The following is a 23253-nucleotide window of genomic DNA, read 5'->3' as shown; positions in this document are numbered from 1 at the left end:
TGCCCAAGAAGGGGAGGAAAGTGGGAGGAGATCTGTGCCTGGTCATTCTCAACCTTCTCCCAAGCCCACAAACGTCTTTCAGGTATGGTGACTGCACCTGCTAATGGCAGTTTCCATTGTATTCATCAGAGTATAATCAAGAGACAGAATCTGCATCAGTCATTTGTACAGAGATATTCTATTTTTTTATTTTTTAACTTTTTTTTGATAGGGATTGCATTTATTTTTATTTTTATTTTTTATTTTATTATTATTATACTTTAAGTTTTAGGGTACATGTGCACAATGTGCAGGTTAGTTACATATGTATACATGTGCCATGCTGATGCGCTGCACCCACTAACTCGTCATCTAGCATTAGGTATATCTCCCAATGCTATCCCTCCCCCCTCCGCCCTCCCACAACAGGCCCCAGAGTGTGATGTTCCCCTTCCTTTGTCCATGTGTTCTCATTGTTCAATTCCCACCTGTGAGTGAGAATATGCGGTGTTTGGTTTTTTGTTCTTACGATAGTTTACTGAGAATGATGATTTCCAATTTCATCCATGTCCCTACAAAGGACATGAACTCATCATTTTTTATGGCTGCATAGTATTCCATGGTGTATATGTGCCACATTTTCTTAATCCAGTCTATCATTGTTGGACATTCGGGTTGGTTCCAAGTCTTTGCTATCGTGAATAGTGCCACAATAAACATACATGTGCATGTGTCTTTATAGCAGCATGATTTATAGTCCTTTGGGTATATACCCAGTAATGGGATGGCTGGGTCAAATGGTATTTCTAGTTCTAGATCCCTGAGGAATCGCCACACTGACTTCCACAATGGTTGAACTAGTTTACAGTCCCACCAACAGTGTAAAACTGTTCCTATTTCTCCACATCCTCTCCAGCACCTGTCGTTTCCTGACTTTTTAATGATTGCCATCCTAACTGGTGTGAGATGGTATCTCATTGTGGTTTTGATTTGCATTTCTCTGATGGCCAGTGATGGTGAGAATTTTTTCATGTGTTTTTTGGCTGCATAAATGTCTTCCTTTGAGGATTGTCTGTTCATGTCCTTCGGCCACTTTTTGATGGGGTTGTTTGTTTTTTTCTTTTTTTTTTCTTTTTTTTTATTATTATTATACTTTAAGTATTAGGGTACATGTGCACATTGTGCAGGTTAGTTACATATGTATACATGTGCCATGCTGGTGCGCTGCACCCACTAACTCGTCATCTAGCATTAGGTATATCTCCCAATGCTATCCCTCCCCCCTCCCCCCACCCCACAACGGTCCCCAGAGTGTGATGTTCCCCTTCCTTTGTCCATGTGTTCTCATTGTTCAATTCCCACCTGTGAGTGAGAATATGCGGTGTTTGGTTTTTTGTTCTTACGATAGTTTACTGAGAATGATGATTTCCAATTTCATCCATGTCCCTACAAAGGACATGAACTCATCCTTTTTTATGGCTGCATAGTATTCCATGGTGTATATGTGCCACATTTTCTTAATCCAGTCTATCATTGTTGGACATTTGGGTTGGTTCCAAGTCTTTGCTATCGTGAATAATGCTGCAATAAACATACGTGTGCATGTGTCTTTATAGCAGCATGATTTATAGTCCTTTGGGTATATACCCAGTAATGGGATGGCTGGGTCAAATAGTATTTCCAGTTCTAGATCCCTGAGGAATCGCCACACTGACTTCCACAATGGTTGAACTAGTTTACAGTCCCACCAACAGTGTAAAACTGTTCCTATTTCTCCACATCCTCTTCAGCACCTGTTGTTTCCTGACTTTTTAATGATTGCCATTCTAACTGGTGTAAGATGGTATCTCATTGTGGTTTTGATTTGCATTTCTCTGATGGCCAGTGATGATGAGCATTTTTTCATGTGTTTTTTGGCTGCATAAATGTCTTCTTTTGAGAAGTGTCTGTCCATGTCCTTCGCCCACTTTTTGATGGGGTTGTTTGTTTTTTTCTTGTAAATTTGTTTGAGTTCATTGTAGATTCTGGATATTAGCCCTTTGTCAGATGAGTAGGTTGTGAAAATTTTCTCCCATTTTGTAGGTTGCCTGTTTACTCTGATGGTAGTTTCTTTTGCTGTGCAGAAGCTCTTGAGTTTAATTAGATCCCATTTGTCAATTTTGGCTTTGGTTGCCATTGCTTTTGGTGTTTTAGACATGAAGTCCTTGCCCATGCCTATGTCCTGAATGGTAAAGCCTAGGCTTTCTTCTAGGGTTTTTATGGTTTTAGGTCTAACATTTAAGTCTTTAATCCATCTTGAATTGATTTTTGTATAAGGTGTAAAGAAGGGATCCAGTTTCAGCTTTCTACATATGGCTAGCCAGTTTTCCCAGCACCATTTATTAAATAGGGAATCCTTTCCCCATTGCTTGTTTTTGTCAGGTTTGTCAAAGATCAGATAGTTGTAGATATGCGGCGTTATTTCTGAGGGCTCTGTTCTGTTCCATTGGTCTATATCTCTGTTTTGGTACCAGTACCATGCTGTTTTGGTTACTGTAGCCTTGTAGTATAGTTTGAAGTCAGGTAGTGGGATGCCTCCAGCTTTGTTCTTTTGGCTTAGGATTGACTTGGCGATGCAGGCTCTTTTTTGGTTCCATATGAACTTTAAAGTAGTTTTTTCCAATTCTGTGAAGAAAGGCATTGGTAGCTTGATGGGGATGGCATTGAATCTGTAAATTACCTTGGGCAGTATGGCCATTTTCAAGATATTGATTATTCCTACCCACGAGCATGGAATGTTCTTCCATTTGTTTGTATCCTCTTTTATTTCCTTGAGCAGTGGTTTGTAGTTCTCCTTGAAGAGGTCCTTCACCTCCCTTGTAAGTTGGATTCCTGGGTATTTTATTCTCTTTGAAGCAATTGTGAATGGGAGTTCACTCATGATTTGGCTCTCTGTTTGTCTGTTGTTGGTGTATAGGAATGCTTGTGATTTTGTACGGAGATATTTTAGCATAAAGATGGTTACCTAGGCCAGGCGTGGTGGCTCACGCCTGTAATCCCAGCACTTTAGGAGGCTGAGGTGGGCAGATCACGAGGTCAGGAGGGAAAGCAGAGGCCTGGGTGACACTCTGGAACCTGATGCATAAAGCAGCCATCATCCCGGCTGCTGAAGGAACAAAGAGTAGGTTGGAATTATCCCAACTTGGAAGCTTATGGATGCCCTGTGTGTCTGGATGGGGCTCCCTCCAAGGAGAGCTTGCTGCTCAGCTGTTGCTGGCTCCTCCAAATCTGGGCGTGGAAGCCAGGCCTCCGAGGTGGGGGCATGGGCTGGCTGATGGTATTGTCCATGAGGGAGTGAAATGAGCCTGGTTCTGCAAGTGCTGGAGACACTGTGAACTGGATCCAGTTGCTGCTGTGGGAAGGAACTGATGCTGTGGGGTGAAGCATTACTGTCCTAATGCTCATGGGAACAGCAAGAAGACAAGGAGCCCAGGAAGAAGAGATGAAGGAGCAAATCCCTCCTCTTCCTCCAGCCTGGAGGCCTCCTTCTAATTTCCCTCACTGGAAGAGCCTACAAGAAAACAGCTGGTAAATCAAACATATGCTGATTTTGTAGGGTCACAAAACAGAGCATGGAAGGGTGGATTTGGAGCTCAGAGACAATAACTGCCTTCCACGATGTTTACTTTCGTAAATGTGCTGATATGTATGCCTCCTGTGTCTCATTTCTACAAAACAAAATTCAATAATTGTTGTTCCCCTGTGCTGCCACACTCTGCTTCTGGTTACCCTAAATGTGCTGGGCAATGCAGCCTCTATCTTCCCAAGAGCATAGCCTGGATTCTGCAAAAGCTTCAAGGGCTGTAAACAGGAAAGTGGACATTTGGGCCAAATATGAAGCATGTATTAACTTCATCTTCACTTTTGCAGCTGGTTCAGGGTCGAGAATATTTTATGATCCCAAAGAAAAGAAAAAGATCTTCAGCAGAGTGGATTGTGGGTTTTGTTTCCAAGGAGTATTAGGCTTAGAGAAAGTTTTAGCAAAAGGAGAAACAAAATTCAACACCTGGTAGCAGAAGAAACATCAGTCCATTTAGAGATTTTTTTGAGGTTTCCAGTTTTTCCTCTTTATCTATATTTTTATCCATACATGTGTGTATGTGTGTGCATGTGTGTGTGTGTTGTGTGTGTGCGTGTGTGCGTGCATATGCAAGTGTGTGTGTGTGCATTGTGTGAGTACATGTGTATGCATGTGCCTGCATGTGTGTATGTGCATATGCCAGTGTGCGAGTGTGCGTGCATGTGTGCATTGTGTGTGTATGCATGTGTCTGCATGTGCTTGTGTGCATGCGTACATATGTGAATGCATGTGTGTGCATGTGTAAGTGTGTACACGTGTGTGCATGTGTATGTGTGTGATTAAAGGTAAGGGTGTTTTTCCAGCAGGCTCAGAAAGAGAAGAGTGAGTCTCTGCGTACGCAAGACTCATTTGCCAGTTCACTGGCCTGATTCATGAATGCAGCCTCGTTTACTTTCCTTTGTGCTCCTTGGGGATTAGAAAGGTACCAACAGCACAGAGGGAAATGGACTAAAAAATACCCAGGCAAGGGTCATCTCTGCCACCTTCTCCATCTCACTCCCCAAGTGTCTAGGCTGTCACAGACCTGGCTTGTTTCCATTTTCATTCCATTCCATGAAGAGAGAGAGAGAGAAAAAAAAAAAAAAACAGCAGCTTTGAATCACAAATTTGATCATCTACACAGAGAAGCGGGGGATTATGAATCATGGAGTCCAAAAGACTGGTGGTTTCTCTATATTTTCAAAAATATTGTTTGCATCTAATTGTTTTTATTTATAGTCCGAAATACGTCAAAGGACCTCGGTTGCTGTCAGTGTTTTTCCTCCTATTTTCTACGATTCCACTATCAGTACAAATGCCATTGTCCCTGGAATATATGATAAATGAACTGTCACAGCCTAGGTAGAAAAAATAAAAAACAGCATCAGGTAATGAAACAAGCAACTACCTTGGAGTGAGAAAGCCTCCGCCAGAAAGCCTGCCTCCAAACCCGAGATCTGCAGCTTAGTAACTAAGCAACCTCGGGAAACGTAGAGTGTAGCTCTGACTGTGAGGAGTTTCAGTTTCCTCTTGTAGATAGTGTTTTAACCTGGAATGCTGGATTTGGAGCCAGCTGGGGTTGTTGATTCTTTTCTTGCTTGGTGCTCACATCTCCAGGGGCTGCAAATTCAAGTGCTGGTGGCAAGACAAGAGGGAATGGTGGGGACTCCAGTAACTGGAGACCACTGAGCTGGTCATACCAGCTACCAAAAGCCATGGTGGCACATCTCTTCCCAGCTCTGCATTCAGTGACTTTGGGTTGGCGGCATGAAATCACGAGCGTTTATACTACAGGAATTGGCAAATCGACAAATGCTCGAGGCAAAGAAGCTGCACGGGGCTGTTTGTTGGAGGCTCGGCCAGGATGAACCAATGGGCCATGGGCACTGCAGAGCTTAGATCCTGCCACCGACTGGCACCACAGAGCTTAGATCCCTGCCATTAACTGGCACTGCAAAGCTTAGACCCCTGCCATCAACTGGTGCCACAGAGCTTCAATCTCTGCCGCCGACTGCACTGCAGAGCTTAGATCCCTGCCACCGCCTAGCGCTGCAAAGCTTAGACCCTGCCATCAACTGGTGCCACAGAGCTTCGATCCCTGCCTTGACTGGCACTGCAGAGCTTCAATCCCTGCCACCGCCTGGTGCTGCTCAGCTTCAGTCCCTGCCACCGACCCCCAGACAGCTGTCCTTTCCTCAGTGCCTCCCCCCAGGATTTGACCCTGACCATTTGAATTCCATTTCATTTAGGTTTAGTTGTAAATTGACCTTTTCTCTTTGCATAAAAGAAAGTTACTGGCCAAGGGAGTCTTAGATGATAGTTTTCTTAACTAATGAGGCTTTTTACATCAGGAGACCTCTACGGAACCAGCAAGATGGCTTATCCAAGTCACTTAGCCTCAGCTGCCTCATCTGTAAGACATGGGCAATACTTTCATTCACTCCAGAAAAAAATTATTGAGGCCTTATTATATGTCAAGCATTGCTGGAAGATAGAATTGGGCTGGCTGATTTTTTACAGTAACTTTGTCCTCGGAAAGACAGAAAGATAAGTTCTGCACATTCACTGCCATCCTCAGCTGACTGCACTGCATCAGTCAGACATAAAAACCCACGGTGGAGATTCTCTGAACTGACCTCAGATCACCATGAGGCATGGCCTGGAGCCAACCCGTCAGCCTCTCAGACGCTCTCCAAGTCTTCTGCAACTTGCTGGGGTCACCTTGACCTTCAATGACCTAATTAAAGTGGGTTTGGCCATGCACGGTGGCTCACACCTGTAATCCCAGCACTTGGGAAGGCCAAGGCAGGTGGATCACCTGAGGTCAGGAGTTACCAGCCTGGCTAACATGGTGAAACCCTGTCTCTACTAAAAATACAAAAAATTAGCCAGGGGTGGTGGTAGGTGCCTGCAATTCCACATACTCAGGAGGCTGAGGCAGGAGAATTGCTTGAACCGGAGAGGTGGAGGTTGCAGTGAGCCAAGATCGTGCCACTGCACTCCAGCCTGGGTGACAGAGCGAGACTCTGTCCCAAAAAAAAAGATAATAAAATTAAATAAAAAATAAAGTGGCCCCGTCTCTACTAAAAATACAAAAAATTAGCCGGGCGTAGTGGCGGGCACCTGTAGTCCCAGCTACTTGGGAGGCTGAGGCAGGAGAATGGCGTGAACCCGGGAGGCGGAGCTTGCAGTGAGCCGAGATCCTGCCACTGCACTCCAGCCTGGGCGACAGAGCGAGACTCCGTCTCAAAAAATAAAAATAAAAATAAAAAAAATAAAAAAAAATAAAGTGGGTTTCGCTCCCACTTTTAATGGAATGCAACATCTGTCCTTTCCAGGATGTTGCAGATTTCTGCCAAGGTGGGACTGAACATGGAAGAAGGTGTTCTTGACCTGCATCTGCTGAGAATTCCTGTGTTCCTTCATTTTCCTGCAGACTGCATAGAGCCGTCTGGAGGTGGAACTGTGCTGATGTTCAACACGGCCACCCGTGTGAACAGCAGTTGCTGTTGGTGGGCTGAAGGGTCCACATGTGGCTCCTCAGTCTGGCCTGGGCTTCCCATGACACAGAGGCTGGCTTCTGTGAGGGGGCATCTGAAGGGCTAGTGTTCCAGGAGCATAGGTGGGAGGTTTTTTTGTGACCTGGCACCAGAAAGCTCAGACTTCTGTCAAATTCTGTTGGCTGAGTGCAGAGGGCCAAAGGAAAGCTTCTCCTTTGCCCTCTGAAGTTTTGCTAAAAAATCAACTCAAAAATGGCAGGTTAATAGGAGAAATGGCATAAAAATTAATCAGTGTGCATGGAGAGAAAATCACAGAGTTGTTACCCCAACCTGACGCAATAAGGTGTACAGACAGTTATATACCCCTCTTCTTAGGGGAAAGGAAGATGGGAGAATGTGGATGATTTTAGAGGGGTAGTAAATGATTTTTAGAGAAATTCAATGGGCTTGAGGAATGGGCAGTGGCCTGGGGCAAAGTCTGTAGGGCCTGCACAGCAGGAAATGCTTTGTGACAAAAGTCTATCCGGCTGTGTTGACAGATTTCCATCTTTCTTCCTGCAATATGAATTCAGTGGATAAAAACTCAGAGAAGGCACCAGAGGCCATTGTTTTCTTCCTGTGGGGTCCAGATTTTAGGCAGAAAAGGGAACCTCAGAGAACTTTATCCTGTGCTTTAAGGGAGACAGAGGATTAAGAGAGGGTAGGAGGGTGATGGTTGGAAGGTCAGAGAGACCTTGAGGCTGCTTATTCAGTTCAGCATGTCAAGGGAACATATTTTGAGATGTTGGTTTCTGAACCTCAACACAAGCAACTCACTAAGGCCAGCCCAGATTCAAGGCAAGGGCATTAGACTCCACCTCTCCAGTGGAGATGTAATAAGGTCACTTTGGCGAGGACGTGAGCAGGCAGGAGAGACTGTTGTGGCCATCTTTGGAAAATGCAGTCTACCACATACGTTCACCTCCCAGAGTCTCAAGGTTCTTTATCTAGAAGAAATGGAGATGTAATAACACCAACCTCACAGGGCTGTTGTGAAGGACAGTGGAGTTAGTGGAATTAAAATACTGCCTTATCTTACTGTAAGACTCATTTCTTGGTAGAGACCCTAGAAAAAAAGGCATCTGTGCCCGAGTAGGTAGGCACGAGGACATTTGTCACTGCATGGTTTGAAAAAGCAAAATACATGAGAATGCAAGCTCTGTGATCATCTCATCATCATCATCACTATCATTCTTACGAATTTTGGTGCCCAGTTGTTCCAGCACCACTTACTGAAAAGGCTGTCAAAGACTTTGGTTTCATTGAGTTGCCTTTACTCCTTTGTCAACGATCAGTTGGCCACATTTATGCAGGTCTGTTTCTGAGCTCTCTTTTCTGTCTTATTCATCAATTTACCTATTCCTTCAGCAATGCCACATTGTCTTGGCTATTACGGTTTTCCAGGCAGTCTTGAACTTGAGTCACGTCAGTCCTCTGATCTTATTCTTCTGGGTTGTGTCCTCACAAAAACTAACTTAAAGTGGGCCACAGAACTAAATGTAAAAATGCAAAATGATAAAATTCCTAGAAGATAACATAGGAGAAATTCTAGATATCATCGTGTTTGGTGATGACTTTCCAGATACAACACCAAAGGTGTAATCCATGAAAGAAAGAATTGATTCCCTGGACTTTATTAAAATTAAACACTTCTGCGTATGCAGTTTTTGTTTGTGAATACAAGCTTTCAGCTTGAAGGGAACCAGAATGTTACCCAAAAATATGTGTTTTTGACATAAGAATTATGTTGAGTTAAACGTGATTAATAAGAAACAAAGGGAGGAAAAGTTCTGTCTACCCTCTCCTTTTCTACGTAAATGGACAATATAAACTCTCCTTTACTGGAGATAACTCTAGACTATGATTAGCCCAGAGTTGACACAGAAAAAATCTGCAAACAAACATTTCTCCATGAGTTTCCCCCATATATTTACCTTTCTGTAGTTTCTCAACCATTGGAGGCCTAAGGCCATTTCCCTTCTCCTGTTATTTCTCTATAAAATTATTGTTCTTTGTGGAAGATGCTACATATACTCAAATTTTAGTCATCTCTTTGAGTTACTCATTCCTAAGTTTCTTCTATGGATATAGGCGATGTAAATGTTCATAAATATGTTTGTTTTTTTAAGAAAGAAAAAGAAACATACAGAGAATGTGCATTCATTTAGAGAGTCCCCTCATCTGTCTAACAGAGAGTCATAAAAGCTGTGTCATGGGGCTTAAACAAATACATTTACAAACAGGGCTGAGAATACTGGTTCTCAACCGGGGGTGCTCTTGCCGCCCAGGGGTTCTTTAGCAATGTCCGGAGACACTGTTGGTCGTCACCGCTGGAGAGAGGGATGCTACTGGCATCTGGAGGTGGAGGCCAGGGGTGCTGCTCAGCAGCCTACACTGCCCTGGATAGCCTCCTACAGCAAAGAACTCTCCAGCCCCAAATGTGGACAGGGCAGGGGCAGAGAAACCCTGGCCAGGACCAGCACCTGGCACGTGGCAAGAGCGGCTTGGGTGGCTTGTTATTAAAATGATTTCCTATCAGACTGCTCATCAGTGACTGTGAGAAGACAACTGAGATCTTATGACCCAGGCCACATGGACGGTTTTGAGGACAAAGAAAAGAGAACATTCACCGAATGCATTATTTCCTCTGACCCAGGAAAGGACTGAAAGTGGAAATTTGAGGTTGTGTAAAAATGTTCTGTTTTCATTTAAAAATAACAGAGCTTCCTGGGAATTTGAATTTCTGATTTTAGAAGAAAATAGGCTATAGAATATGGACTATATATGGAATCTTCTGGTATAGATGACTCCAAAAACTCCAGAATATCCCTGTTCCATGTCATAACTAAGAGGCCCACTGTGGCTGACGGGGAAAGAGACTCAGACTTTCTTCCAGAAAGCACTGTCACTCAGCCTCAAGGAGTGCTGGTAGCAGGCAGCCCCCAGCGCTTAACTCCTTGGGGTCCCTGTGTTTTGAGCTGAGTCCCGCTCTTTTTCAGATAGCCCCAGCTATTGACAAAGATGGTGGTTCAAGGGTCTGGCCACTTTCACCAAAGTGGGGCTCCTCCCTGAACACCCAGTCTTTGCTCCAGACCCCTCCGGTGAGTTGGCAGAAATGTTGTTGGGTCTTCCTCTTGATCCAAGAGCTCCCGCTGCCATCCTGGGTCCTTCCCTTCCTCCTTCACAGATATCACGGCCTAATGGACCTTCTGTCTCAGCCTCTGCTCCCCAGAGACCTCACGATCCCACTGTGGCATGTGAGGCATATGACGGCCGACTCGGGACCCAGACCGGCCTGGATTCCAATCCCAGATCCAAGGCATCCTAGCTGTGTGAACTTTAATAAGTCACCTAATCTCATCGCGCCTCAGTTTCTCATCTGCACAGTGGGGATTGTAATAATGCCTACCTTGCTGGGTTACTGTCACAATCAAACAACTCACTGCATGTGCATACCTGGGAAGGCTGCCAGGTAGACAGTTGTCCTCGATGGCAGCTTTAACACCTCTGATCTATGAAGCCCCCACCAGGAGCTGGCTCTCCCCTGGGTTCCCAGCTAGCCTCCTCTCCATGCAGGCTGGCAACTTCCTCCTGGAATAGGAAAGCAGGCTCTAGGGACTGAATGGCTGACTGTATTTATCTGCACAGTTGATTGCAGTTTCCTAGGGTTCCCATCAAAAAAAATACCAAGGAGCAGGTGGCTTACACAACAGAGCTTCATTTTCTCACAGTTGCAGATGCTGGAAGTCAGAGATTAGGTGTGTGCGGGTTTGGTTTCTCCCTGGCCTGGGGGCAGCTGCTTCTCACTGTGTTCTCCCATGACCGTTCCCCTGTGCATCCCTGGTGTCTCTCTACCCTGTGTGCCCTGATGCCCCGATCTCTTCTTCTTAAAAGGAAACCAGGCCAGGCACAGTGGCTCACACCTATAATCCCAGCACTTTGGGAGGCCTAGGCAGGCAGATCACCTGAGGTCAGGAGTTTGAGATCAGCCTGGCCAACATGGCAAAACCCCATCTCTACTAAAAATACAAAAATTAGCCGGTTGTGGTGATGCTCACCTGTAGTTCCTACTTGGGAGGCTGAGGCAGGAGAACTGCTTGAACCTGGGAGGCAGAGGTTGCAGTGAGCCAAGATCGCACCACTTCACTCCACTCCAGCCTGGGTGACAGAGTGAGACTCCGTCTCAAAAAAAAAAAAAAAAAAAAACCAGCAGGCATATTGTGGTGTTAGGGGCCTATGTTAGTGACCTCATTTTTACTTAAGCACCCCTATAAAGACCCTGCCTCCAAATACAGTCAGATTCATTTGAATTTTTTTTCCACGTGAAGACATTTTTATCTATTCATCCTTTTTTTTTAAATTTTATTATTATTATACTTTAAGTTTTAGGGTACATGTGCACAACATGCAGGTTAGTTACATATGTATACATGCGCCATGTTGGTGGGCTGCACCCATTAACTCTTCATTTAGCATTAGATATATCTCCTAATGCTATCCTTCCCCCCTCCCCCGACCCCACGACAGGCCCTGGTGTGTGATGTTCCCCTTCCTGTGTCCATGTGTTCTCATTGTTCAATTCCCACCTATGAGTGAGAACATGCGGTGTTTGGTTTTTTGTCCTTGCGATAGTTTGCTGAGAATGGTGGTTTCCAGTTTCATCCATGTCCCTACGAAGGACATGAACTCATCCTTTTTTATGGCTGCATAGTATTCCATGGTGTATATGTGCCACATTTTCTTAATCCAGTCTATCATTGTTGGACATTTGGCTTGGTTCCAAGTCTTTGCTATTGTGAATAGTGCCGCTATAAACATACGTATGCATGTGTCTTTATAGCAGCATGATTTATAATCCTTTGGGTATATACCCAGTAATAGGATGGCTGGGTCAAATGGTATTTCTAGCTCTAGATCCCTGAGGAATCACCACACTGACTTCCACAATGGTTGAACTAGTTTACAGTCCCACCAACAGTGTAAAAGTGTTCCTATTTCTCCACATCCTCTCCAGCACCTGTTGTTTCTTGACTTTTTAATGATCACCATTCTAACGGGTGTAAGATGGTATCGCATTGTGGTTTTGATTTGCATTTCTCTGATGGCCAGTGATGGTGAGCATTTTTTCATGTGTCTTTTGGCTGCATAAATGTTTTCTTCTGAGAAGTGTCTGTTCATATCCTTTGCCCACTTTTTCATGGGGTTGTTTGATTTTTTCTTGTAAATTTGTTTGAGTTCATTGTAGATTCTGGATATTAGCCCTTTGTCAGATGGGTAGATTGCAAAAACTTTCTCCCATTCTGTAGGTTGCCTGTTCACTCTGATGGTAGTTTCTTTTGCTGTGCAGAAGTTCTTGAGTTTAATTAGATTCCATTTGTCAATTTTGGCTTTTGCTGCCATTGCTTTTGGTGTTTTAGACATGAAGTCCTTGCCCATGCCTATGTCCTGAATGGTAAAGCCTAGGTTTTCTTCTAGGGTTTTTATGGTTTTAGGTCTAACATTTAAGTCTTTAATCCATCTTGAATTAATTTTTGTATAAGGTGTAAGGAAGGGATCCAGTTTCAGCTTTCTACATATGGCTAGCCAGTTTTCCCAGCACCATTTATTAAATAGGGAATCCTTTCCCCATTGCTTGTTTTTATCAGGTTTGTCAAAGATCAGATAGTTGTAGATATGCGGCATTTCTGAGGGCTCTGTTCTGTTCCATTGGTCTATATCTCTGTTTTGGTACCAGTACATGCTGTTTTGGTTACTGTAGCCTTGTAGTATAGTTTGAAGTCAGGTAGTGTGATGCCTCCAGCTTCATTCTTTTGGCTTAGGATTGACTTGGTGATGCGGGCTCTTTTTTGGTTCCATATGAACTTTAAAGTAGTTTTTTCCAATTCTGCGAAGAAAGTCATTGGTAGCTTGATGGAGATGACATTGAATCTATAAATGACCTTGGGCAGTATGGCCATTTTCACGATATTGATTCTTCCTACCCATGAGCATGGGATGTTCTTCCATTTGTTTGCATCCTCTTTTATTTCATTGAGCAGTGGTTTGTAGTTCTCCTTGAAGAGATCCTTCACATCCCTTGTAAGTTGGATTCCTAGGTATTTTATTCTCTTTGAAGCAATTGTGAATGGGAGTTCACTCATGATTTGGCTCTCTGTTTGTCTGTTATTGGTGTATAAGAATGCTTGTGATTTTTGTACATTGATTTTGTATCCTGAGACTTTGCTGAAGTTGCTTATCAGCTTAAGGAGATTTTGGGCTGAGACGATGGGGTTTTCTAGATATACAATCATGTCATCTGCAAACAGAATTTAGGGAGGGGACCAAATTCAGCCCACAATAGGCTCAAGTTGCCTGTTTTTCCCTCTGTACATGGAGCATCCCTGCTGACCCGAAGCCCATCTGTGGCATGTCCCTGCACATCCTCTTCCAGTCTAGTAAATCCATTTGAAACTGGTCCAGCATGTCCTGCATGGCATCCATTTGGAACTGTGTCCAGTGTGTCCTCCAGTGCGTCCATTTAAAACTTGCTTATCTCTTGACAGAAAAGGGTGTGTTGTTCATTAACAAATATACCTGAGTTAGGGAAAGTTGTTTTCCAATAAATAAGCCTAGTATAATGAGCTAAAGTTCTTCTCTGATTAGCCCAGTGTGGCAGGCCCCTCATGGCTATAGGACACTGAGCTTCAATGTTCTTATCTGGCAAATGGGGGTAAGGGTACCAATCTAATAGATATGTTGTGAGGATTAAGTGGAAGAAGTTATTGACATTCAGTACAGTACCTTGCATGTAGCAAACAATGAATATTAGCCACTACTATTATTGTTACCACTATTATTAATGTTATCTTTCTTTTTTGAGACATAGTTTCGCTCTTGTTGCCCAGGCTGGAGTAAAATGGCGCGAGTCTCAGCTCACTGCAACCTCCGCCTCCTGAGTTCAAGCGATTCTCCTTCCTCAGCCTCCCAAGTAGCTGGGATTACAGGCGCCGCCACCAAGCCTGGCTAATTTTTTTGTATTTTTAATAGAGACAGGTTTCACCATGTTGGCCGGGCTGGTCGCGAACTCCTGACCTCAGGTGATCCACATTTTTAATCCAAGACAGAGACTAAGCACAAAAAGGTGCTACCTAACTTGAGAATTGGATGCAAGCATTCCTGTAGGATGTCTACTTCTGCAAAGTTTGAGGGGAAAAAAAGACAGAATTTCAACAACTGTAGCTGTAGCTCTTGAACAAAAAAAAAAAAAAAAGGAAAGAGAGAAATATTAGAACATAAATTTAACCAAGAATGTTGGTGATATTTAAATAAGATTTAAATTCATACAGCATTTAAACAGAAAAGAAGGAAATGGCATTAAATTCACATAAGTGCCGGATTATGCACACCAGAGTCAGAAATATTAACTATATCCCTATAACGGAACAGTGTGACTGGCTGGAAATGGATTATGAAAGGGGTTCAAGAGTTTTAATAGATCATCCCTTCAAACCATCAGCATTGTAATGTGGTAGTTAATAAATTATATGACATGTACAGTTAGTCATATTTTAACGAGAAGTAATGACAGATCTTGCCGGCTCACCTAGACCATTACATTTCTCCAGTTCATCTCCCAGAGGGGGAGTTTGGAATGTCTAACAATCTAATGCAATGAACAGAGCTATGAAGGCAAGGATGAATGTCAGAATGCTGGAAGAAGTTCTGCTCCATCCAGCTGTTGGAGGAACACATCTCAGATTGTCTCTCCAGACCAGGATGGAGTTGGGGCCAGGTCCACTCATGGGGGACTAGGCTTGTGTCTTCTTAAGCTCACCTAGGCTCAGGAACCTGGGTCCCAAGAGCCTATTTGAGTTTAGGTAAGATCTCCAGAGTCCAGGTGAGATAGGTAAGGTCCTCAGAGCCCAGGTGAGGGTAGGTAAGGACCCCAGAGCCCAAGTGAGGATAGGTAGGGTCTCCAGAGCCCAGGTGAGGATAGGTAAGCTCTCCAGAGCTGAGATGAGCTTAGGTAAAGTCCCCAGAGCCCAGGTGAGCATAGGTAAGGTCTCCAGAGCCCAGGTGAGCATAGGTAAGGTCTCCAGAGCCCAGCTGAGCATAGGTAAGGTCCCCAGAGCCCAGGAGAGGATAGGTAAGGTCCTCAGAGCCCATGTGAGCTTATATAAGGTCCCCAGAGACCATGTGAGCTTAGGAAGGGTCCCCAGAGCCCAGGTGAGGATAGGTAAGGTCCTCAGAGCCCTTGTGAGCCTATATAAGGTCCCCAGAGACCATGTGAGTTTAGGAAGGGTCCCCAGAGCCCAGGGGAACTTAGGTAGGGTCTCCAGAGCCCAAGTGAACGGAAGTAAGGTCCCCAGAGCCCAGGTAAACTGAGGTAAGATTCCCAGAGCCCAGGTGAGCATAAGTAAGGTCTTCAGAGACCAGCCTGACGGAATATCATAATGGCATCTTCAGTTGTGTTCATTAGACAATGACATTCTATATTTGCCTAGGAGACGCACAGGAATTTTCTTCCCTTTCATAAAGCAATGTACCCTTTCCGAATTGTCTTGGAAACACACGGCTCCCTCCCCTTCTGTTTTCTCCACTTTTGGGTGGAGACATGACCCGAGAGAAACATTTCTCTATTAGAAGAGTGATGAGGTAGACCATAAATAAAGCTGGTCAACTCTGGGGCCAAAAAGACACTGTGGGGTGGGAAGGACTGGAAACCTCAGTGCCACTCTGCCCCATCAGGGCCAAGTCAGATTGGAGGCCCCATTTTGCCAGTGTCTGAATTCTCAAGCGATGCTAGAAATCTAAATTTCTAAGTTGAAATCATCAAAGTTTTGAATGTTGGCTCAATTTTCTCTATTCTGCAACCCGTTTTCTTTTCTTTTCTTTTCTTTTTTTTTCAGACAGGGTCTCACTCTGTCACCTAGGCTGGAGTGCAGTGGCACAATCTTGGCTCACTGCAACTTCCACCTCCCGGGTTCAAGCAATTCTCCTGCCTCAGCCTTCTGAATAGCTAGGACTACAGGTGCATGCCACCATGCCTGGCTAATTTTTTTTATATTTTTAGTAGAGATGGGGTTTTGCCATGTTGGCCAGGCTGGTCTCGAACTCCTGACCTCAGGTGATCCTCCTCCTTGGCCTCCCCAAGTGCTGGGATTAAAGGTGTGAGCCTGCGCCCAGCCCCTTTCTTTCTTTTGAGAAGTCAGCTCACCTATGAGGATTCAGCCTGAGTTAGAAATGGAACACTTGAGAGAGGAAAAGCCTCATATTAAAGACACCCTGGCCCCTGAAGCAAGGAGAACTGTGGCCAGGCCACAGATGATAATAAAGCCACTGGAGCATGTGCCATTCAGCTTTTCAATCAGATTTAAGGACTTTTGTTGGTGGCAGATACTGAAGACACAAGCACCACCCACTCTTAACCGGACCTGGGCCCACGTTTCTCCTCAGCGCCATCGATCACCCTGGAGACGGAAGCTCATAGCGGCTGCTCTCATACATTGACTGCCTCATCGTGAAGGTGAAAGGGGCCTGCATAGGAAATGCTCTTTACAATGTTTGAACAGCCAAGTCATTTCTGCTGTGCTTTTCCTCACACCCCTTTAAGTGCTAAAAGGAGGTTTTTATCCTCTAAAAAGGCAGACTGCAAGAGAGCCCTCAGGCAGGAGAGACAGCTGTCCTGGAGCAGGAGGCCACAGGCGCCCACTTGGGCTGAATCTGGTCTACGCCCCTTCCCTGCCCCCTGTGTCCTGGTGAAAAGTTCTATCTCCGGGCTCTGGTTCCTCACCCATGAAATGAGGACAATAACAGTGCCTGCTGGGGTGGCTGTGAACACTAGGTGAGATGAGCAGGAAGCGCGTTCAGCCTCCAACCCTGACACGTGTTAGGGGCTCAACAAGCAGGGGTCCTAGCCCCTTACATCCCCCTCTAAGCTTAACCAGCAAGGCCCCCGTCAGGGAGGACACCCCGGTCAGGGAGGACACCCCGGTCAGGGAAGACACCTCAGTCAGGGAGGACACCCGGTCATGGAGGACACCCGGTCATGGAGGACACCCGGTCATAGAGGACACCCGGTCATGGAGGACACCCGGTCATGGAGGACACCCGGTCATAGAGGACACCCCGGTCATGGAGGACACCCCGGTCATGGAGGACATCCCGGTCAGGGAGGACACCCGGTCATGGAGGACATCCCGGTCATAGAGGACACCCCGGTCATGGAGGACATCCCGGTCAGGGAGGACACCCGGTCATGGAGGACACCCGGTCATAGAGGACACCCGGTCATGGAGGACATCCCGGTCATGGAGGACACCCGGTCAGGGAGGACACCCGGTCATAGAGGACACCCGGTCATAGAGGACACCCGGTCATGGAGGACATCCCGGTCATGGAGGACACCCGGTCAGGGAGGACACCCGGTCATAGAGGACACCCGGTCATAGAGGACACCCCGGTCATGGAGGACACCCCGGTCATGGAGGACATCCCGGTCATAGAGGACACCCCGGTCATGGAGGACATCCCGGTCAGGGAGGACACCCGGTCATGGAGGACATCCCGGTCATAGAGGACACCCCGGTCATGGAGGACATCCCGGTCAGGGAGGACACCCGGTCATGGAGGACACCCGGTCATGGAGGACATCCCGGTCATGGAGGACACCCGGTCAGGGAGGACACCCGGTCATAGAGGACACCCGGTCATGGAGGACACCCGGTCATGGAGGACATCCCGGTCATGGAGGACACCCGGTCAGGGAGGACACCCGGTCATGGAGGACACCCCGGTCATGGAGGACACCCGGTCATGGAGGACACCCCGGTCATGGAGGACACCCGGTCAGGGAGGACACCCGGTCAGGGAGGACACCCGGTCATAGAGGACACCCCGGTCAGGGAGGACACCCGGTCATGGAGGACATCCCGGTCATGGAGGACACCCCGGTCATGGAGGACACCCGGTCATGGAGGACACCCCGGTCATGGAGGACACCCGGTCAGGGAGGACACCCGGTCAGGGAGGACACCCGGTCATAGAGGACACCCGGTCATGGAGGACATCCCGGTCATGGAGGACACCCGGTCATGGAGGACACCCCGGTCATGGAGGACACCCGGTCATGGAGGACACCCGGTCATAGAGGACACCCCAGTCAGGGAGGACACCCGGTCATAGAGGACACCCCGGTCATGGAGGACACCCCGGTCATGGAGGACACCCGGTCATAGAGGACACCCCGGTCAGGGAGGACACCCGGTCATGGAGGACACCCGGTCATAGAGGACACCCCGGTCAGGGAGGACACCCAGTCATAGAGGACACCCCGGTCATGGAGGACACCCGGTCATGGAGGACACCCGGTCATGGAGGACACCCCGGTCAGGGAGGACACCCGGTCAGGGAGGACACCCGGTCAGGGAGGACACCCCGGTCATGGAGGACACCCGGTCAGGGAGGACACCCCGGTCAGGGAGGACACCCGGTCAGGGAGGACACCCCGGTCATGGAGGACACCCGGTCATAGAGGACACCCCGGTCATGGAGGACACCCGGTCATGGAGGACACCCCGGTCATGGAGGACACCCGGTCATGGAGGACACCCCGGTCAGGGAGGACACCCCGGTCATGGAGGACACCCGGTCAGGGAGGACACCCCGGTCAGGGAGGACACCCCGGTCAGGGAGGACACCCGGTCATGGAGGACACCCCGGGGCTCTGCGGTGTGTCATTCTCCCCCTCCTGGAATTTGTTTTCTGCAGCTGCAATAACAAACCATCACACCACAAACCCAGCAGCTTTGTGAGATGGTGGACACCCATGTATTCTCTTCCAGTTCTGAAGGCCGAAAGTCTGAAATCAGCTCCACTGGGCCGACATCAAGGTGTCGGTAGGCCTGTCCTCCCTCCAGAGGCTCTAGTGGGGAATCTGCTTCCTCGCGTTTTCCAGCACCCAGAGTTGCCTCCTTCCTTCCTGGGCCTCTGCCTCCATCTTCCAGCGTCTTGTTTCTGTGGTCACAGGACCTTCTTCTCCCGCTGCAGTCAAATCTCTCCCTGCCTCCCTCTTATAAGGACAGTCAACTCCACTTAGGGCCCACCCAAGTAATCTAGGATGCTCTCCCTATCTATCTCAAGACCCTTAATTTAATGACTGATAACAGCCAAGATTTGGAAACAACCTAAGTGTCTCTCAGTGGATGAATGGATAAAGAAAATGTGGTGTATATATACGGTGGAATACTATTCAGCCTTAACAAAGAAAAAAATCTTAGCATTTCCAACAACATGGATGAACCTGGAGGACATGACGCTAAGTGCACTAGACCAGACGCGAAACGGCAGATCCTACATGACGTTGCTTATACGTCGGGAAAAGTCCAACTCACAGAAACAAAGTTGAATGGGGGTTTCCAGGAGCTGGGAAGTGGGTGACATGGAGAGAGGATGGTCAAAGATAGAAAGTTTCAGTTATGCTGCTGAATACATGATGGGGCCCTAATGTATAGCATGGCTACTCTAGTTAATAATACTGTATGGTAGACTTAGGATTTGCAAAGACAGGGGGTCTTCAATGTTATCACACTTATACACTATTGATGGGAATATAACATAGTATGGAAAATTAATTATGGAAAACAGTATGGAGAATTCTCAAAGAACTAAAATTCTATCCAGCACTCTCACTACCAGGTATCTACCCAAAGAAAAGAAAAATCATTACATTGAAAAAATACCTGCACTCATGTTATACACACGTTACCTTTTCATAACATTTATATACAATATACATAAATATATATTTCAAATTTATATACAATGTATATAATGCTATATATAAATATACAATATACATTGTATATATAAGTTTGTATATATGATACAAATTTGTATTATATATTATATGTTGTATATAGTATGTATATATAATACAATAAATATACAATATATAAATATACAATGAAATATTTTTCAGCCATAAGGAAGAATGAAATCACCTCTTTTGTAGCAACATGAGTAGAACCTAGAGGTCATTATCTGAAGTGAATCAACTCAAAGCCAGAAAGTCAAACACCACTTATTCTTACTTATAAGTGGGAGCTAAATACAGTGGACACATGGACAAAGAGTGTGGAATAATAGACACTGGATGTTCAGAAGGGTTGGAGGTTAGGGGGAGGTTGAGGGATGAGAAATTACTTAAGAGGTACAATGTACATTATTTGGGTGATGTTTACACTAAAAGCCCAGGCTTCACCACTGTGCACTATATCCATGTGACAAAACTCCATGTGGACGCCCTAAATATATACGAATTTTAAGAAATGTCCTCACCACAACACACACACACACACACACACACACACACGCGCGCGCGTGACTATGTGAGGTGATGGATATGTGAGCTAACTTGTAATTATTTCACAGTACACATGTAGATCAAAACATCATGTTGTAGATGTACAGCCTAGAGTGATGCAGTTGTACCTGCCAAGTACTTATTTGCCAGTAAAGCTGGGAGGGGAAAAGATCCTTAATTTGGTCACATACCTTTTGACAAGTAAGGTAACGTTTATAGATACCAAGGATGAGGATGTGGATACCTTTCGGAGCTATTATTTAGTCTCCCACACTCTCCCGAAGACATGTCCCAATTCTTGTTTAGGATGAAAACTAAAGGACTCATTGCCTTCCCCCAGGAAAGCTAGGAGACAAGACAAGAGAACAAAATCCTTACATTGAACTTGCTTCTTCCCATCAGCGCTGGCATGGAGGAGCCCTCTTGCACCAGGTAGAAGTTGGCAGCCTGAGCTCTGGAGCCAGACTTCTGGGGCTAAATCCTGGCTCTGCCCTTCCTGGTAGAGGAACATAGGCAGGCTCCCCCACTCCTGCCGGCTTCCTCATCTGGAATGTGGGAATGGCAGTGGTGCCTAGCGTTGTGGTTGTTCTGAGGATGAAAGGAATCCGCATGTTTGGATTCCCTGAAAAGCGGAGCCTGTGACGTGCACTTGAGAACAGGTGCTTTATTTGGGGAATGATCTCTGGAGGCAGAATGAGGGAGTGAGCAGCAAGACAGGACACATTTTGGAAAACCAGCAGGAGGTGCATCATTGAGCTAGCTCGCATGGTGGGCAACTTCTGTGAAGTCCCATCGAGCCCCTCTAGGGAATTCTGCAGGACAGGCCTCAGAATCCACCCCTGTGCCTCGTCGAGCCCCTCTAGGGAACTCTGCAGGACGGGCCTCAGAATCCACCCCGTGCCTGCAGGGGAAAGTGGTCTGCACATGCCCTGTTGAGGACGTTCTCAGGATACACCCGCATGGGAGTGAAGACAGTAGAAGGGGAAGAAGAGGGGCTAAGCAAGGTCAGGTCCAGGTGCAGCACAGCCAGCTCCTTGAGGAGCTCTTAAGAATGAGCTGTGCTGTGCATGGGTCCCTCCTTGAGGCAAACAGCCTGGGCTTCTCACCCCACCAGGTAGTCACTGGGCAGAGAAGCGGGGTGAGCAGGACATAACTCCCGGGTAACTCTGAGGGACACAGCTCCACTCACCTAAGGGCAGTCTTCTACGGAAGATGTGGCAGGAGCTGTCGGCAACACACGCAGCCCCTGGGGAGGAGTCCACCAACCTAGCCACAGGGACCCCAGGAAGCCTGGGTACTCAGAGAGCACCTTTCATAACAGCGTCTGCTATTATTACTCAAAAGCAACACCCAATGTCTGCTCCATACCAGGACCTCCTCCCCCATAGTAAGGGGAGGAAAGGGAAGCACCTCCACCAGCCAGGGCACTTCCCTTTCCTCCTCCTTGGGCCATGCAACGGGATGAAAGCTCACCTTTCCCTCCCCTTTTCTCTCTCACCTCTTCACAGGTTTCTGACAGATGTGACTACGTCTTTGTCAATGGGAAAGAAATGAAAGGCAAGGTCAACGTGGTGGTGAACTTCACCTACCAGCACCTGAGCAGCCCCCTGGAGATGACGGTGTGGGTGCCCCGGCTTCCGCTGCAGATCGAGGTCTCCGACACCGAGCTCAATCAGATCAAGGGTTGGAGAGTGCCCATCGTCTCCAGCAGGAGGTGGGTATGTCCCTGAAACTCCATGGCAGGCTAAGGAGGAAGTGTACGGGGTGGTAAATTTGGGCATGACTGGGTCTGAGGATGCATGTGGTACCCTAAGGACCAAGCCTCCCTCCACCGCTCAGCTTGGATTTGCTCTGTGTTGGCTTCATTCTTTATCAGCGTTTTTCGGGAGGTTCCAGGCTTTCATCCTCTCTTCTCTGCAACTCCAGCAGAAAGTGCCTCCTCTCCTTCCCACTAGTTCCAGCAAAGTCCTGAATTTAAGTCTTATCCTCACTGGGATTTTGTGGCCTCCCTTATCTAGTTACTGTAGCCAAGGCCCTCAAACACACTGAGTGGCTGGCTGGACTCCCCACCTAGAGCCAGAGGAGCTAGAGGAAGAGGTGCACCAAGGCTGAACGAATGAACAAATTCTAGGAGAAGGGAAAATTGATGCTGGAAAGGAGGAGGCAGCAGATGTTCCCTGGAAGGACATCTGACAGGGTCAACCTGACCTGAACTGCCTCTCTGCGCTCCAGTCCAGAAGCTCTGAGCTCTCTGCCTTGGTGAAATGAGGTCTGAGGCTTGTCCACTGAGTGTCTGGTACATTACCCCGATGGTGCTTGGTAGAGTCCCAGGAGTCTCCACCATCTACCGTCAGGCAACCACATGAGTACCATGTAAAGAGAGTGGTAGGAGCTCAGGCTCTTCATTCACAGACTTTGTCATCTCAGAGAAACCGTGTATAAGAATTCATGTATTAGGGACATGTTGATTGCTAAAAGTATATGCATTATGAGACAAGGAAATATTCCTGGAATCTGTGTACTCAGCAGGGGGTGGAGAATTGGGGCTTATCTGAGGGAGAACTTATATTCCCTTCCTTGCAAGCTCATTCCTTTGGTCCCATGGCCCCTGGGAGAGGGGATGCTTCAAGGACGAAGGCTGTGGGTCTCAGGGACAGTTGGGAGCTGGCTTCAGCAATGATTCTTTCTCAGTCTCTGGGGTTTCTGGTATTGAGTTGAGGGTGTGGATTAGAGAATGACCGTTGGCGCTGCGGAGGGAAAAAACTGTAGGGGAAGATTCCCCAAAGACCTGGCTG

At 46.7% G+C, this 23253-nt stretch overlaps 1 protein-coding gene across 1 annotated transcript in view, besides 1 other annotated feature; it reads left to right on the top strand.

Annotated features, from left to right (window-relative positions):
- The window catches only part of TMEM132D (transmembrane protein 132D), an 832300-nt gene that overhangs the window by 797357 nt on the left and 11690 nt on the right, over nucleotides 1-23253 (top strand). The window contains exon 6 of the mRNA NM_133448.3: nucleotides 21967-22172. Within this exon, the coding sequence (NP_597705.2) occupies nucleotides 21967-22172 (206 nt within the window). The remainder of the gene's footprint in view (nucleotides 1-21966; nucleotides 22173-23253) is intronic.
- Nucleotides 9274-9443: an enhancer, noted in NCBI's record as "experimental_25393 CRE fragment used in MPRA reporter constructs". NCBI's record gives its function as "activates a minimal promoter by MPRAs in K562 erythroleukemia cells, with activity observed for both the introgressed and non-introgressed 12:129581856 variant alleles {active_cell/tissue: K562}" and the evidence as "EXISTENCE:reporter gene assay evidence [ECO:0000049][PMID:34662402]".

This window comes from Homo sapiens, chromosome 12 (assembly GCF_000001405.40).
Source record: "Homo sapiens chromosome 12, GRCh38.p14 Primary Assembly".
NCBI lineage: Eukaryota > Metazoa > Chordata > Mammalia > Primates > Hominidae > Homo > Homo sapiens.
Note: the sequence above shows the minus strand (reverse complement) of the source record. Positions and strands in the feature narration are given on the sequence as shown.